At 39.6% G+C, this 17,324-nt stretch overlaps 1 protein-coding gene across 4 annotated transcripts in view, besides 1 other annotated feature; it reads right to left on the reverse strand.

Moving 5' to 3' along the window:
- PPP2R2B (protein phosphatase 2 regulatory subunit Bbeta) overlaps window positions 1–17,324 on the reverse strand; it is a 500,779-nt gene that overhangs the window by 475,452 nt on the left and 8,003 nt on the right. The gene's annotated exons all lie outside the window — the stretch shown is intronic.
- Window positions 9,108–9,207: an enhancer, noted in NCBI's record as "active region_23362". NCBI's record gives its function as "activates an Ori minimal core promoter by ATAC-STARR-seq in GM12878 lymphoblastoid cells {active_cell/tissue: GM12878}" and the evidence as "EXISTENCE:reporter gene assay evidence [ECO:0000049][PMID:35858748]".

The following is a 17,324-nucleotide window of genomic DNA, read 5'->3' on the forward strand; positions in this document are numbered from 1 at the left end:
AAGACAGCATAGTGTTCTGCCCTGGAGAGAGATGGCTGTTAAAAGGAGCCACCCGTAATGCCATGGATCTCAGGAATATTAAAGTACAGTGCAATGAAATGGGTCTCTGTCCTTGCTTAATCTAGATTTAGTTCTATTTTTTAAAATACTAAAGCCCAAACAATAGGACCATTTATCATTTAGGTGAAGCCAAAAGCTGGATTGAGTAGTCGGTGACAGAGGGCTAACACAGATAGATTCTGTGCTCCACTACTGCCTCTTTCTTCCCCTGCCAGCCTTAACAGTGAAGCAATAACTTAGTTCTGAGTTATTCACTCTCCAAATAGAAAGCCACAACGCAAGAATAGAGACTAAACCCAAAGGAACTGACCCTTCATCAATCTGTGAACCCTGATGGCATTAAAAAACATGGAAAAACTAAGTTGATACAAGGATTACACAACTTTACCAAAACTCTCACTGAGATTTCAAATGAGAGAGAGAGAGAAAAAGAGAGACAGAGGCAGAGACAGAGACAGATAGACTGATATTATTTAAGGACATGACCAACCACAAGATATAAGTAATTTGGGATGGGGAATTGGTTTGGTTTTGGTCCATGAAATAATAATGACTTTGGAAACCTTATCACTGGAAGGCAAGAAAGCACAGGGCTTCAGTTTGGGGTTTATAAGTTCTGTCAAAGACACTATTGTATATAATGAAGAGAAAGAGTCAAATGTCCTTCATGCTGCATTCAGAGGCACAAGGAAATGATTTAAATGTCCATAAAAGAAAACCAACATTTCCCTGAGAAAGATTTTTAAAAATAAAATAAAAGTGTGCCTTGAAAATCTGATGGAATAATTTTTAAGCCTTTATGGGCTCTCTTCCTTACAAAAATATTTAACTCAGCATTGGAGAAATGTGCTGGTCTCCCCAGGAGGGAAAAAACAAAGTCATTAGAGTGCCAGGACAGACCATGGTCATGTCAATCCATTCCCCCACCAGTATGCCACTTCTCTGGCCCTTGGACTACTATGGCATGGTGACAAACTGCTGGCAGTGTCGGGCCATTTAGTTCTGCAATAATCATATTACCTCCTTAGACCCAGGGACTTGGCAAGGTAGGGCCATCCTAAGTAAGGTGCTGTTTAAACAGTGCCTAAGTGGTCTGGTTTGTTTTTGTGGGTAATTTCAAACTAGTGACAGAAGACTATATGCAGGAGTGTCTCCCTAAGAGATACTTCATATCTAACCTCTGGCCAGCAGTGAGGGAGTAGAAGGAGTGTGGGCTTTGGGTTCAACCTGACCCTGACAGTTTGTATCCCAGTGCATTCACTTAATGGCCAGGTAGAAATGAACAAATTTTAACACTGCAAACCTCAGTTTCTCCTTCTATAAAATGGGAAGAATAACAAGGTTTTCCTCATGTATTCTTGAAAGAAGTGAGACAATAGGCATAGAGATCTGGCACATTGCAGGCACGTGATAAACTACCAATGTTGCTGCTGTTAGCCTTCTCTGAGCTTCTATGCCATACACCAACCTAAGAGTAGCTGAAGAGGAGATGTGCTTAAGAGGAGTGAGGCTGCAGTTAGACAGCCAGGGTTTAATCCTGCCTTTGACATTGACTTGCTGTGTGATCTTGGGCAACTTACTTAACATATTTTAGCCTCATTACAGGCCTAACAAGGATAATAATAGAGTCTTAAACGACACTGTTGAGGATATGATAGGATAGTTCATATAAAGGGCTTAGCTCAGTGTCTAGCACATTGTAAGTGCTTCCTAATTTTAATTACTATTGTCTATAACAGTAGTATCAGCCCTTAATTACAGCATATTACTTTATTTACTTACCTATCTTATCTAAATAATGAAAGTACAAACTCTTGAGGGGGAGATCAACGTCTAATTCATCTTTATATCCCTACTGCCTCACCTAGTGCCTGCACAAAGTAGATAGTAAATATTAGGTGAGTAAGTGAATCGATGAATGGATAAATCAATATATATGGGTAAAGCTTCTGGAAGATATTTTATACTTTTTATGTGGACGTGAAGGTCCTTTACAGCACAAATGAAGTGGATTTGAGCCTATCATAAAGCTGGAATATATCATTCAAACAAAGGCATTATGGAATTTATAGATAGACATGCTTCAACTTTAATTGTGTATTTCAGTCTTAAATAAATGGTAGGCACTTAGCGAATACTTTCTAAGTCAATAGTAGGCACTCAGTAATTACTTCCTGAGTGAAAAAAATACTCACTGAGGATGCTGGCCATAGCTATCCTCAAAGAACTCAATAAATACAAAACAGAACAAACAAAATGTGTCTTCTCCATTAGAAGCAAAATAAACAATGGGACTAGAACTCAAGTCCCAAATAGGCCTCTCCAAACCAGCCAATATCTCTTGACCTCAATTGAAAATATGTTTTCAATTGAAATCTAAAATGATTGATTTAGTGTAAGGCCTAGGCACCTATCTACCCACATGCAGAATGGGCAAGAGGCAGAGAGAACAAATTTGAAATTTCTTTGGACAGTGAATCTGCTGCAGGTAGTTTGCACTGCACCATTTGAACTGTTTCAGTGTGCTTCTTGTCTCTTTGATTCTCTCAGCAATCCCATTTTATAGAAGAGAAAACAGGCTGAGGGAATATAATAATTTATCCACAGGAGATCTCATATTTCCACACTGGAATCACCTGATGAGCTAATGAAGAATGCAGATTTCACAGTCCTCAAGCCAATGGATCCAGATTCCCTGGGGATAAGAAGTGATTCTTCCTTTAAAGTTTGAGAACCTCTGGAGTAAGATGTTTAATTTCATGCTCTGGCTTGACAAGTTTGGGTAACGGAAAGTTTTCCAAATACGCTTGTCCTAAATCATGTATCCAACAATTTATTGCCACCCTGACGATATATCAGGCTGAGTGATGGCAACATAGGATATGAGATACCACCCCTGCTCTAAAGAAGTGCATATTCCAGAAAAAAGAAAGACTAATGAACTGTTTTAATAAAGCCACATATGGGCTATGACAGCAGGAAGAGGATACGAAAAGATTCTTTGGGATTATAAAGCCCCAAAAAGTCAATGTTACAGATCCATGCTTTTGCATTAGGCATTATTTATAAAAAATGAAAAGAAACACCTCCTGTTAAAAGGCAATTATCTTACTGGGAGGCATAGCAAATGAAGAGTTAGCAGTCATTAACTCTGTAAGTGGCATTAGTCTCGGATATACCTAGTGTCATCACAGATAAGAGCAGGGTCACCAGGAGAGGAATGGTGTCATTATAAGGAGAAGGGAGGATCTAAAGCAATGGCAGAGGTTTCTGGAGGGAGAGCTCAAGAGCAGAAAGAGGTCTCTGAAAGGGAAACCAGCAGCCTCAGAGAAAGGAAAGATAAAGGTGACCCATTTAGGTGCCATGTGAGAAGGCCCCTTGAGTGTGGCAGAGCAGAGTCCAGTGACAAGAAATTTCTCCAGATGATTTCCGCATGTCAGGTTCTGACAGTGGCAAACAAGCAATTAATTGGGAGTTTCTTGAGTGCTGTGCTCTGAACTAGGCTGCTCTAAGCTTTTCTTTAGACTGACCTCCTGGGAGAGCAGAAGCAACCATTTCTGCCCTGCCAAGTCCAGCTAGAGCCCCTGCCTTGGGGCCAATAGACTTGGAGTCTCCTAACTGCCTGTTTTCACTGGTTCCAGTCCTGTTGCCTACCTCACTGAAGCCCACGTCTTACAGAAAAGTTACCCTGATAATTCTCTCTTTGTATGTTTTTACAACCTCTTTTGGGGGAAGTTTCATCCTCACAGTTTTTCATTTTGCTATGAAAGAAACTAAATCCCAGGAAAAAAAAATTAGCTTATTTAATATTAATCAGGATGAGCCTGCCCAGGTTTTTACTTTTAAGTCAAAGCAAAGCAAATTCCTACTCATTCTTCTAATCTTAAATAAAGTGCCATATCTCCAGGGAGAGGTTTCTTGATGCCTCAGACTGGATCAAATCCCCCTCTTACAGACTCCCACATACCATGTTCCTCTTTTAAAATACTCGTTCATTATTGAGCATATTTATTGAATACTTACTTAGGCCAGGCACTGTGCATGGTGCCAAGGAATCAATAGTAAACATGACAGATAAAATACCTACTCTCAGCCAGGTGTGGTGGCTCACCCGTCTAATCCTAGCATTCTGGGAGGCTGCAGTGGGCAGATCACTTGAACTCAGGAGTTTGAGACCAGCCTGGGCAATAGGGTGAATACCCACCTCTAAAAAATATACAGAAAATTATCCAGGTGTGGTGGTACCCACCCATAGTCCCTGCCACTTGGGGGGCTGAAGCAGGAGGATCACTTGAGCCTGGGAGGTTGAGGCTGCCGTGATCCACGTTCACACCACAGCACTCCAGCCTTGGTGACAAAGTAAGTGAGAGTCTGTCTTAAAAAAAAGAAACAACAAAAAAACAAAACAAAACAAAAAAATGAAAACCTACTCCTCTCTTCTTCGGGTATAATAACCATTCCCAACATATACAGCTCCTGAGCTGCTGTGAGGATCAAATGAGGTAATCCAATAAAGTGCTTAGAATTCTTTGATAATTGCTGTTTAGTATCTGACACCCTGGCCAGACCCTAAGTTGCAAGAAGGTAAAAATTGGACTTTTTTTATGCTGAATTCTGAGATCAAAGTTTGCTGCCTGAAGCATAAGAGGAGTTTGATAAGTACATGCTGGATTGAATTGAGCTGAATTGAGTTGAACTGAATAAAGAAAATTCTGACAATTTCCATCACACTTCCTACACCCACTAGCCAGTGTGTGAAATTCACAACTTGTTAAATTCTGACCTGAAAGAAAGAGGATCCTCTTTGTGGTTAGTTCATTTACCCATTCATTCATACAATATAATCTTTTTTAGCAGCTATTAAATGCCAGGCACTCTTCTAGGTGTTGAGGATACAGCAGTAAATAATATATTAAGGTTTAGCTCTTTGAGTTTATATTCTCAAAGAAAGAGGTAGGTAATAAACAAACATTACATGAACAAGGTTATTTTAGGTGGTGAAAAGTAGAATGAAGGAAATAAAGTGGGACATGGATTAGAGAGTGACTGCTTTGCTTGATGGTCAGGGAAGGCTTCTTGGAGGAGGTGACATTTGAGCTGAAAATGAAAGACAAATTAATGGCCAAGGAATGGGTTTGGCCCTCTCATTTACCCCACTGTAGCCTGCAATTTATCCTCACCGAGATTTCCTCTTCTAATTTAACTAACTACCTACAGATTTTAAAAATAATTTATTTAACATTTGTTTCACTGCTTTAATATAAGCTCTACAGGGACACAGGGTATGTTGTCTTTCTCGCTCATTGCATCCCTTAGACCTAGCAGAGCAGTCAGGAGTGACTTGATTCATATTTCTGATTGGCAGTCTGGACTGATGATTCAGCCAGCTCTCTTGGCATGTGACTAAAGCAAGAGAGAGGTGGGAAGCTACAGATAAGACTGAAGAGGACTTTGAAGATGGGGGTCGGCTCCATTTAGAGCAGCTGCTACCATGCAGCAGGGGAAGAAAAAAAGCCCAGTGCCTCACAACAGAAGATTTTGGCTCTCATTAAAAAGAACGAAAGAAGGAAAAGCACAATAAAGCCAAGCATGTTTTGCACCAAATTTTATATAGTAACTCTCATAGTACCTAGAAAGAGTAGACAAATAAAATCTCTTAATTTATAAAGAGAAGTCAGAGCAGGTAGGCAACAGGATTTTTGTTTGTTTGTTTGTTTGTTTTTTGGTTCTGAGCCATGGAAACATGATTTGATTTTAATAGATGATGATAATACAGTCATGTGCCATAATGACATTTCAGTCAACTGTGGACTGCAAATATGAAGGTGTTCCCGTAAGATTATAATACCGTATTTTTCCTGGACCTTTTCTATGTTTAGATATGTTTGGATACACAAATGCTTATCATTGTGTTACAACTGCCCAGAGTACTCAGGACCATGACATTCAGGACTGTACAGCCTTGTAGCCTAGGAGCAATAGGCTGTACCATCTAGGTTTGTGTAAGTGCACTCTAGGATGTTTGCACAATGACAAAATTGCCTAATATTACTCTTCTCAGAATGTTTCCCCATCATCAAGTGATGCATGACGGTAGTAGTAATAAGAGCAACCACCAAATCTATATTCATCTGAGTTCTTCATTCATCTGAGGATTCATTCAACTGAGTAGGTTCCAGTTACTCTGCTAAGTGCTACACCTAGAATATCTCATTGAATCCTCCTGAAAAACCTAAAATACATATCATTATTTTATCTGTTTATAGATGAGGAAGTTTACACAGAGACATTAAATAAAGTCAACTGCAAGCAAGTGGAGGAGGTAACATTCCAGTACAGGCTTTCCGCTTATTCCTTCCCTCAGGCTGTCCCATGCCACCGTGCTCTCTGAGTTGCCTGGTCTGAACATTATCTCCCCTACTGTCTAGTACAGGACACGGCACCAAGACTGACACTAAGATTTTGTATCTGCTTATTTGGAACTTGTGGGTATTTGATTAGGGCTGGGCAAATTTACTTCTGACCTATTTGAAAGAAAGAGTTTGCCAATGACTACCGTAATCATGTAGAAGAAATCTAGCAAAATCCACACACCTACCTATCAATGCCTCCAGAGATCCAATATGTGTTGAAAGTTTGCTATTCCTAGGACATGGTGCCAAGGACTGTGAGATTAGATGCATGTATGGGCATAGAATGTAAAAGGGAGGGAGGGAGGGAGGGAGGGAGGGAGGGAGGGAGGGAGGGGGGAAGAAGGGAAGGGGGAAGAGAGGAAGGAGAAAAGGAAGGAAGAGAAGGGAAGGGAAGAGAAGAGAAGGGAAAGGAAGGGAAGGGAAGGGAAGGGAGATAGAAAAGAAAGACTAAATTAAGTAATAAATATATAAATATTACAGAAGGGCCAAAAGAGATGCATAGTAGAAAACTCTCACACCTAAATGGAACATTGGGACAGAATCCAAGAAAACTTCCTGGAGGTGGTAGCATCTGAGATAGGCTATGAAGGAGAAGAAGAATTTGCACGTGTGAAGATATAAGTGGGAAGAGCCTTCTGGTAAGAGGTTAACAGTAACAGTTTTACTAAAACAGCTAAAATTCACTCTTTCTCCTATTTATTATAAGTTAATGGAATTATAAAACATATTTTAAATATATAAAGCAGATTTCAGTTGCTGTATTTGGGCTATGCACTTATTAGCTCTCATTTGGAAATAGTGGACTTTAATATTTCTTGTCCAAGCTGGATAAAAAATGTTCCAATTATTCAGTGTATATAATGCCTCAAAGCCTTCATAAAAAGAAAGCATTCCAAAGTAAATCCAGAATGTGCTTCCTGTTCTGCAGAAAAAAACTGTCCTATCTGCCTCCTTCCCAGACATCTCTGCATTTTAATTAAATCATGAATATTATGAAGAGGAACCAATATTCTGATATGAAACAATATTTTAAAAGGATTGCTGTGACTCTGATATCTATTTTGGCCTTAGAGCCTTCCCCAGGATTAGGCAGCATATTTCTTCTTGGACAGATGAGAATGTTAGAGGATTTGAAAGGAACGCAGCACATGAATCCAGGTGGCAAGATCTTAGTTTTCTGACCTGTAGGCTAACACTTAGAGATACAGAATAGGCATTTGAGTAAGTGGTTTTAACGTCTTTTCAAGAAAACACTTTTAACTCAGTTTTCCTCTTGATTCTGAGAGGCCATAATAGTAAATCTTTTAGGAGGTAGCAGAGGAGAAAATGTTGTACCTGTTGTTCTTACAGTAAGGGGCCAGATTTGCTCATTCAGCGAGGACCTTCCCCTGGGCGTGTCACACTGCTCACAGCAGCCTGCATGAGAGTTCTGTTTGGCCTGCAGAGTATTGTATTTTCTAATTCAAACTTCATGCCTTTAAACAGGGTATGTACTCATCAGTTCCTCTACATCTGGATTACATCTGGAGAGATTTACACAATTACCTTCCCCTTTGCTGTTTCAGTCTATGAGCTTTGCTTTATGGCAGGGTTTCTCAACCTCAGCCCTATTGATATTTTGGACAAGGTAATTGTTGTGTGCTTGTGTGGGGGAGATGGGTCTGTTTGAGGATGTTTAGTAGTGTCACTGTGCTCTACCCAATAGAGGCCAGTAGCACACTTCCCATCCCCCAGTCAGGACAATCCAAAATGTTTTCTGACATCAGTGAATATCCCCGGGGGTGCAAAATTACCCTCCCACACCCTATATTGAGAATCACTGCTTTACAGCAATACGGCCTCAGAGACCTGGGCTGTGATAATGGACACATTAATTGCATATTAGGCAGCATAACGAGGGTAAATAATATTTTGATTAGAATAAAGAAGAACTAAGATCTGTGTGTAATTCTTTATACCTTAGTTTCCTCACCTCATTCTCCCACAGGTCTAGTATACAAATCAAAACAATCTAGCATATGAAACAATATTTGTAAATGTGTTTTGAAAACTTAACTATATAAGGTTGTTGCCATTTGGTCTTACCTAGCTCTTTAGGCATCCACTGATACCAGCACATTGAAAAATAGCAGCTCTATTCCAGGATAAATCATTTAAACTATAAGGCATTCCATAAACCAAGTACACTGACAAGGAGTTGAACTTAGCAGTAAGAAATACCAGTTTGGGCAGTAGAATGAATTTTCTTGGAGTATCCTGTCTTCTTGGTTTTTCTTGCTGATTGGAAAGCTAGTATTCTTTCATTTACTTAATCATGCATTTATTCAATATGTATTTGCTAAGCATTAGCATACACCAGGCATGGTGCTGGGCACTAGGAATGCTTACACAACTTGTAGTTGTATATCAGCAAGTAGTTGTAGCAGACATGTTAGATATAATCCTGTCTTCATGCAGAGTATGGACTAGTAGAGAAAACATACAAGGAGCAAGAAAATTATAATGCATTTGGTAAGTGTATGATGGAGAACATTCAGGACCTTCTACAAGGGCCACAAAGCTCAGAGTTCAGGGTTAAGAAAGGCTTACTTGGGAAAATGAAACCAACACTGAGATTTGAATGATGAATGGGGGTTGCCAGAAAAAGAGAGAGTGAAAATATTTCTGGCAAAGGAGACAGTATGTGTGTAGTGCTGGAGGTGAGGGGATATGGCATTAGAGGACACATGGAGCAGAGAGTACGTGAGGAGAATGGTGAGTGAGGCTGGGGGTATCCTAAGAAAATGAAACCTAATGAAGCTTTTTGGGAGGCGAGTGACATATGTACACACTGGAGATGCTACTCTGGATACAGTGTGAAGAATAGACTGGAGGTGGTCAAGACAATAAGGAGAGGGGGAGTAAGCCAAAGAGGCTGCTCCAATATCCAGAGAAGAGAAGATGGTGTCCAAACTAAGATAGTGGCAATGGGGTTGGAGCGAGGTTGAGGGATTGGAGATACTGACCTATTTAGAGAAAAGAGGGAAAATGACATATGACTTAGTGATAGAGTGCATGAGTATGAGTGTTGAAGGAAGTTAGGAAGGCAGAGCCAAGAATGATTCTTGGGTGTTTGGGAGGGCTTTCGGAGGAAGAAACTGGAGTTTACTACAGCCATTGCTACTATTGACAAAAATGAAAGAGTTTATGGGGTGCCTGCTGGGTGCGGGTCCGTGAGCTAAATGCCAACAAGCATTATCTCCTTTAAATCTTGTAACATCCCTGTGAGATAGGATGTATTATTCTCAGGACCCCCAGGCTCAGAATAACCTGATCAAGGACCCACACCTGGTAATAACAGGTTCCTGATTCGGGCTGGAATCAAACCCAACAGACTGACTCCCGAGTCAGGTTGTTAAGCCTGCTCTCTTAACTACCACATAGAACCATTATTGATTCCCTTGAATGTTTACTTTCTGGGTTTAAATCATAGGTTTTCTGGTGACTAATGATAGTTTTGGAGGAACCATTCAATCATTTAAACTCTTCAAATCTCAATTTCCTCTGCCAAAATCTAGGTATTGGAATATCTCCTTCAGAGGGCCCATGGAGTGAGTAAGTTAGTGCTAACATTAATAATGACAGAGCAAGCATTTATTGAATGCTGACTGTATTCCATGCTGCATTGTAAATTCTTTACATGTATTAGCTAATTTAATCCTCACAAGAGCCCTGGATGTAGCTTCAATTATTATCCCTATGTTACAGATGAAGAAACTGAGGCACAGATACATTAAATGCCATACTCATATAGCAGATTTGCTGGAATGCAAACCTGGGTGAGACTTTCTGGAACCTGTGCTCTTCACTATGGTGTCATGCAGCCTCTGCTAAGAAGTGAGACCTTAGAAAGTGTTTGACACACCAAGAGCCTAGCACCTGGAATGTTGGATGTGCTCAGCGCTGACCATAATTTTTCTTCAATTTTAAGTTTATCAACTTTTCAATAAGTGTCAGGCACCGTATTAGACAAATAAGAAAGATATGGCCCCTGTCTTAATGCCTTTCTTGGACTGCTAGAAAGCCATTTCTAATCATGATTTTTTTTTGTATCATCAAGCCTCCCTTGCCCATGAGAAGTTGGGAAATGTCAGCAGTTTCTGAGGAAGGCTTTAGAGAAGACCAGGGAAGCCAGGCTTCATCAAGAGCCAAATACATGGCCTGAACCACTCTGCTGATGTGATTAGCCTGGGTGTTGGCCAAAAGACCACACCAAGGCCCTTGGTGGGCTACTGTCTTTCCTCCTTTAATATTTGTGCATTTAATCACCACCTAGGTTAAAGAAAACAGCTGATTGATAAAATAGAGGTAGAAAATGCTAACATCTGCTAGACGGTCAGGAGGTTTTTATTTTTAATTGAGAAAAAGTTGTCTACATTTACGGTGTACAACATGGTGTTTAAAAATATGTACACATTTTGAATGGCTAAGTTAATTAACATACACATTATCTTACATACTTATTATTTACTTATAAGAACACTAAAAATCTACTCAGCAATTTTCCAGTATACAATACCTTGTTATTGACTACAGTTACCATGTTGTACAGTACATCTCTTGAATTTATTCCTCCTATCTGAAATTTTGTATCATTTGTATCCTCAACCTCCTCTTACCCCAACCCCTAGTAATTATCAGTCTACTCTCTGGTTCTATGTGCTTGACTTTTTTAGATTCCACAGATGTGAGATCATCTGGTATTTGCCTTTCTGTGCCTGTCTTGCTTCACTTAACATCATGTCCTCTAGATTCATCAGTGTTGTCACAAATGACAGGCTTTCTTTCTTTTTCCAGGCCAAGTAATATTCCCTTTGTTTTTCCACCAGAAGGGATATCAGAGAGAGACTCTAATCCCTTAATGCCACAGGGGAACCTGAGTGGTGGAAACATTAAGTGGTAAAGTGGAAGAGGAAACTTCCACATAACTTCATTCTGTCTGTTTTCCTTTCTGTACCCCACTTTCTCTGTCTATAAGTGGGCAGATCTTCTAAAAAAGATCTCCCAGTTTCCTTCAAAGGAAATTCCCTCAAATTCCAATATGCTATGAATCTAAGTGTTTAATCGCACAGTTACCTATTTGTTCATTAACATCATGTGGGTAAATAATACTTGGATTAGGTGTAAGAAGTCCTAATTAATTGTTCATGTTTGTTGATGATGTAGAGACAACTAGCTGTCTGTAATTTTCTTCCACTTGCTCTGACATCGTGTCTGTAGAACTGGAGCCTAGAACCCTCTACAGGTGTTTATTGCTCTTCCCAAAGATGAAATATAATCTTTGTGTGCACCCAGGTGTAAATAATCTTTTTAGTAAACACATGGATCTGATGGCCATTTTAAGCTCATTTAGAGAGAGTTTACTAAACTTAGCAAATATTAAATATTAAAAAAATAATGATCCGGGTGGTAGAATGATGAGTCATTTTTATTTTCTTGTTATCTGTTTTCATTAGTATCACAGCTAACATTTACTTAGCATTCACTCTGTGTCAAGCGCCGTGCTTTGTGTCGATTATTTTATTTCATCCTCCTGACAAGCCTATGAAGGAGAAACTACTACTTTCCCATTTTACAGAGGAGTAAAGTGAAGCTAAATCAAATCAAAATAAAGTTATGCAGTCTATTCAAAGTGACACAGAAAGTCGTTTCATTGGGATTCAAACCCAGGCCATCTGTTCATAGGTCATTCTCTTAACTATGGTAAAGTCTTTCTAATGCCCTCAAGTTTCTGTTAGAAACACAAAGAGTATTACTTTATGTGAAAAAAAATGTAAGTTTTTAAACAGTAATATCTGAGTTGTTTTTAAAATAAAGTTTGTTATTTATTTTTTCTGTTTTAGTTTCATGAATTTGGTTTAAACTGCTATTAAATAGCAATATTTTTAAAAGACATCTTTGGCATGCTGTAAGATACTTTTTAGAAAAATATTCTCTCAGGTACACCTGATGAGAAGCTGCGCTTTACATGAATCATTGACTGAAGAAAGAAAAGGAATATACATTCTGAACCATGTGTGAATAATAAGCTGTAAAAAATTGCCATCAGTTTTCCTTGGAAAATAGGCACTTAATATCAATATTTGGAAATCATTACTGCTTGAATATCATTGGTATAGACCTGCCAACATAAAATTACCTGGTATATTTGATTAATGGTGTAGAGTGAGAAGCACACATGGACAAACGACTGTGCCATAATTTTGGGAAAGGTTGCTTTAAATCGTAATCAGAAAAATCACTCATGAAACAATAGATGATAATGACCCTTAAGAAACAGCTAATACAATTATGGAAATATCACCCACAGTAAAAAATAAAATGAAAAAACAACAGATCTTATGTTCCTTTAACTATAAGCTGAAAGGACATGGTCAGGTCTAAAGGCTGCCAAATTTAAGTGATCTCAACAATGCCTTGAAAATTGCTTTTGGGCGCTGAACAAAACTGTAACATTTACAAATTCCAGTGGTGATCCTGGGCAAAGATAGCACAGTGAACTTCAGACCACAGACAGCATTTTACTATGAGAGGTGAGGTATGAAGAGCTCTACGTCAGAAGCGAAAACAAAACAAAAAGAGTTGAGTTTAGAGGTGAGGTTTAATTTTCACAATACAAGTATAAGGAAGATTACGTTACTGAAAATTCTCCACTGAGGTGAAATGCCCTAGGATTTAGGTCCTAAAACATCAGAGTACTTCCATCCTTAGACTCCTGAAAGCTTCCCATTGTACCCAGAATAAAACACAATTATTTACCATGGCTTGCAAGCTCACACCTGAACCTGCCTCTGCTTCCCTCCACAACTTCAACATAAACTCTTCCCTTACTGACCAATCCAGGCATCCTGGCCTTCCTTCTGGCCATGCCTGGATTGCTTCTGTCCAGGGCCTTCACACTTGTTGTCTCCTGTGTCTAAACACTGTTCCCATGGATTTTTTGAACATGGTTTCTACTCATTATTTGGGTCTTAGCTTAAATGTCACCTCTTCAGAAAAGCCTCACAGAAAAGCCATCTAATAATGTAGCATTCCCCATTCCCTCATTTAGCCACTCCCACATGAACACATTTTATACTGTTTTTTTTTTTTTTTTTTTTTTTGAGATGGAGTCTTGCTCTGCCTCCCAGGCTGGAGTACAGTGACACAATCTTGGCTCACTGCAACCTCCGCCTACCAGGTTCAAGCAATTCTCTTGCCTCAGCCTCCTGAGTAGCTGGGATTACAGACGCCTGCCACCATACCTGGCTAATTTTTGTATTTTTAGTAGAGACAGAGTTTCACCATGTTAGTCAGGCTGGTCTCAAACTCCTGACCTCGTGATCTGCCTGCCTCGGCCTCCCAAAGTGCTGGGATTACAGGTGTGAGCCACCACACCAGGCCCATTTTATATTCTTTATAGCATATGTCATCATCAGAAAATGTCTTGTGTTTTTGTAAGCTTGCATTTTCCATTGTCCACCTCTGCACTAGAATGTGAGCTCCATTAATACCACAGACCGTGGCTATTTTGAGGGCTTCTGTGTTTTCAACACCTACTGCCCATATATATTTACTGAATAAATGGATGAATAAAATTCAATATTCTTACCTGCAACCAAATTGGTATAAAGTTATTTATACACTCTTTTTTAAAGCTCTATATAATAGACTAAAAATAAATATACTAAGAAAAAGGCGTAATCCTTACTTGAAACCTTGAGCAAAAAACCAGGAACCACCCCACAATGTCCACGTGCTTAATTATTTATTATTGGCTTTTAAATTCCATTAACTAATAGCATAGGCAGTAAGTAGGATGATGCTGAGCCTGCTTAATGAGCAACATTTACAAAAAGGCAAATGCTCTTCTCACACACCCTGGGCCCCAGCTTCAAGACAAATCCGTCTAGAGAAGCTTGGTGTCTGGATTTGCCTGAGCCAAATGTTTTACCAAGAACAAGGCCAATGACCCACCACCCTTGGCACAGTGGTAGCAATAGAACTGGTTAAGCCTTATCTGTCTTTTTTTTCCTGTAGCTGATACTATTGTCGGACTACCTTGAATCACATCCTCATTCCTTGCTGCAAAGCCGAGATTTTGTTGTGGCATCCTCCACTCAGGCATGATGATCCTATACCAAACTCAGATGCAAGCCCATTTGTATAAAGCTAGTTAGGCTAATCCCATTCTCCTTGCCAATGGATGGTTTAGAAGTGGGCATCTGCTGTGAAGTGGAGATTGCAGTGGTCCGAGATTATGCCACTGCACTCCAGCCTGGCGACAGAGCGAGACTCCGTCTTGAAAAAAATAAAATGAAGTGGGCATCTGACTTAGACTGTGGCAAAGGGGACATCAAAAGAAATTTTCTAGGGATATCTGATGGAAAAGTTTCCTTTATTTAAAAAAAAAAAATCAGAATGTCCTTTCGCTTGACATTGTTGGTTTATGTGAGTATGACGCCCAGAATTGTAGCAGTTGTCTTGGGACCAAGCTGACATTCCAAGGACAGCAAGGCAGGGAGATGGAGAGGATCTGAGTCCTCTATGCTGTGCTTCACCTAGGGAATTTATCAGCTCTGGGGGCTCCCTGCCTCATGACTTATTATGTGAAAAACTGGATTATTGCAATAACCTTTCAACCGATTCCTGCTTCTGACAGTGGTCCCTTAATTGAGCTGCTGCTAGAAAGAGCGTTTTTCAACTAGTGGCTCTCTATTTCATTCAGGCAGGAGTCCAGCTATTTATAATGGTTTATAAGGTCCCCATCTTGCATCTGTCTGCCATCATCTGTCTCCATCTTTCACAACTTCCTCCTTTGCCTACTCAACTTCAGACACACTGGCCACAAGTCCAGTCCTTAAACATACCAGATAAGCCCTTGCCTCAGGGCAATTGTACTGGCTGTTCCCTCTATCTGGAACTCTCCTCCCCAGATATTCACAAGACGATATTTTTTTTTTGCCTTCTTCAAATCGTTGCTCAAATGTCATCTTTTGCATGAAGTCTTGACCATCCTATTTAAAAGAGAACACCATATCCCTGAACCCCATATTGGTTTATTTTCTTACATTGATAGCCTCATATTTTATATTCCACTTGTTTATTACGTCTATTGTCTAGCCCCTCCACTATTGAATCTCCAGTGCCTAGAATGCCAAGCACATAGTAGGTGCTCAGTAGATATTTGCAGAAGAGATCATTCTTTTACTGTTCCAGATATTTTGATAGCAGTTTTCTGTTGGAGCTGAAAGCATCTTGAAAGCATGATGGATTTCCCTTGAGTTGCCTTGGTGTCCTATGCCCTGCATTTTCAAGACAGTCAACCATGTCTTAAACTCACAGTCAGTGCATCCAGGGGAAGATGAGCAGTAAAAAAATTTCTGGTGTAGGATTCAAAACTTTGCTTTCTGGTCTCTATAAGACATTGGACAATTTAAAACTTATCTCTAGCTGCCTTAATCTCCTCATATCTATGAAGAAAATTAGGTCTACTATCTATAATATCTAAACTAACTTTTTGTCTGCAATGTGGGATTATAAGACTGATTCTAGTTATGTCCTATGGGTTATAAGATGTATATGACCCATATATGTTAAAAGTAGAAAAGTCCTGTGTATCTGTAATGAATTGTTTTGAATGAACATTTTTATTCTCTAAAAATATCCATTATTGTTGTATTAGTGGTAGTATTGATGTTTTTTGGTTAGTTGACATTTATTAGTTACTGAAGGCTATTTTCAGTCAATAAATATTTATTAAGCCCCTGCTTGGTGTCAGGTTACTTTCCAAGATTACTCAATCACAGTAGCTGAGAATAACAACTCTGAGGTCAGACTGGTGTGTAAATGGATATGTTGTTAAACTTTCTGAGTCTCAATTTCCTCCACCGTAAAATGGGCTTAAGCTGGCACCTGCCTCATATCTTAGTGTTGCAGCAAAGGTGGAATGAGATAACGTGTTGAAAGCAGTTATTAAGGAGTCTGATCTCGTAAAACCTGATTAAATGGAATTATCATTATTATTACTCTACCCTGACCAGGTATTGTGCAGCACTTTCAAAGATCTTATTAACATATCCTTTCATCCTCCCAAGCTGGCAATCACCCAGGGAACCTGAGCAAATAGCACAAGAGAATAATTGAACCATGAATAAAATGTGGGTCTGTGTACCCAGAAGTCCTAGCTAATTCCTGTTTCTACTTTAGGTCTCATATTGGCTTCCAATCTAGCCAGTCTTACTCTAGCAAGCCTTCCCTGCTCTGTTCCTAGTGTGGGTTGGGTGACTTACTCTTTTTCTAGCACTTTCCACAATCACACTGGATTGTCATTAAAAACCATGTGGTGATGTCCTCAGGAAAGTGTACAGTGCTTAATGGAGGGGAGCAACAGGGTTTTGTCCATGACTGGCCTCATCGTCCAGCCCAGTGCCTGGCACATACTAGGTGCTCCATAAATATTTGTTAATTAAACACATTTAAAGTGATTGGCATTAGGGAAAGGGTGAAATAAATAGCCATGGAGTTTTTTTCTCCTTCTTGGCTAGGAAATATTTAATTACCTAATGCTTACAAAGAGAACAGGATGTTTGCCTTCAATGTTATGCAAAGAACCCGCTTCCCTTCCTCCAGAGCTCACTTCTCACCAACTCACCTGCAGAGTACAGCAAGCCTCCTCATATCAAGACATTCTCCATCACAGCTGAGAAAAAATGCTTTCATCTTGCACAACTTGTTCATAATCACTCCAATTTTTCTTCTGGCAGATTGGAGCGCCATGCAAAGTGAAGTTGCATAGGAAATCCCCCTGTAGCCTACTAGGTGCAGAGAAGA

The sequence above is a fragment of the Homo sapiens genome, chromosome 5 (assembly GCF_000001405.40).
Source record: "Homo sapiens chromosome 5, GRCh38.p14 Primary Assembly".
NCBI lineage: Eukaryota > Metazoa > Chordata > Mammalia > Primates > Hominidae > Homo > Homo sapiens.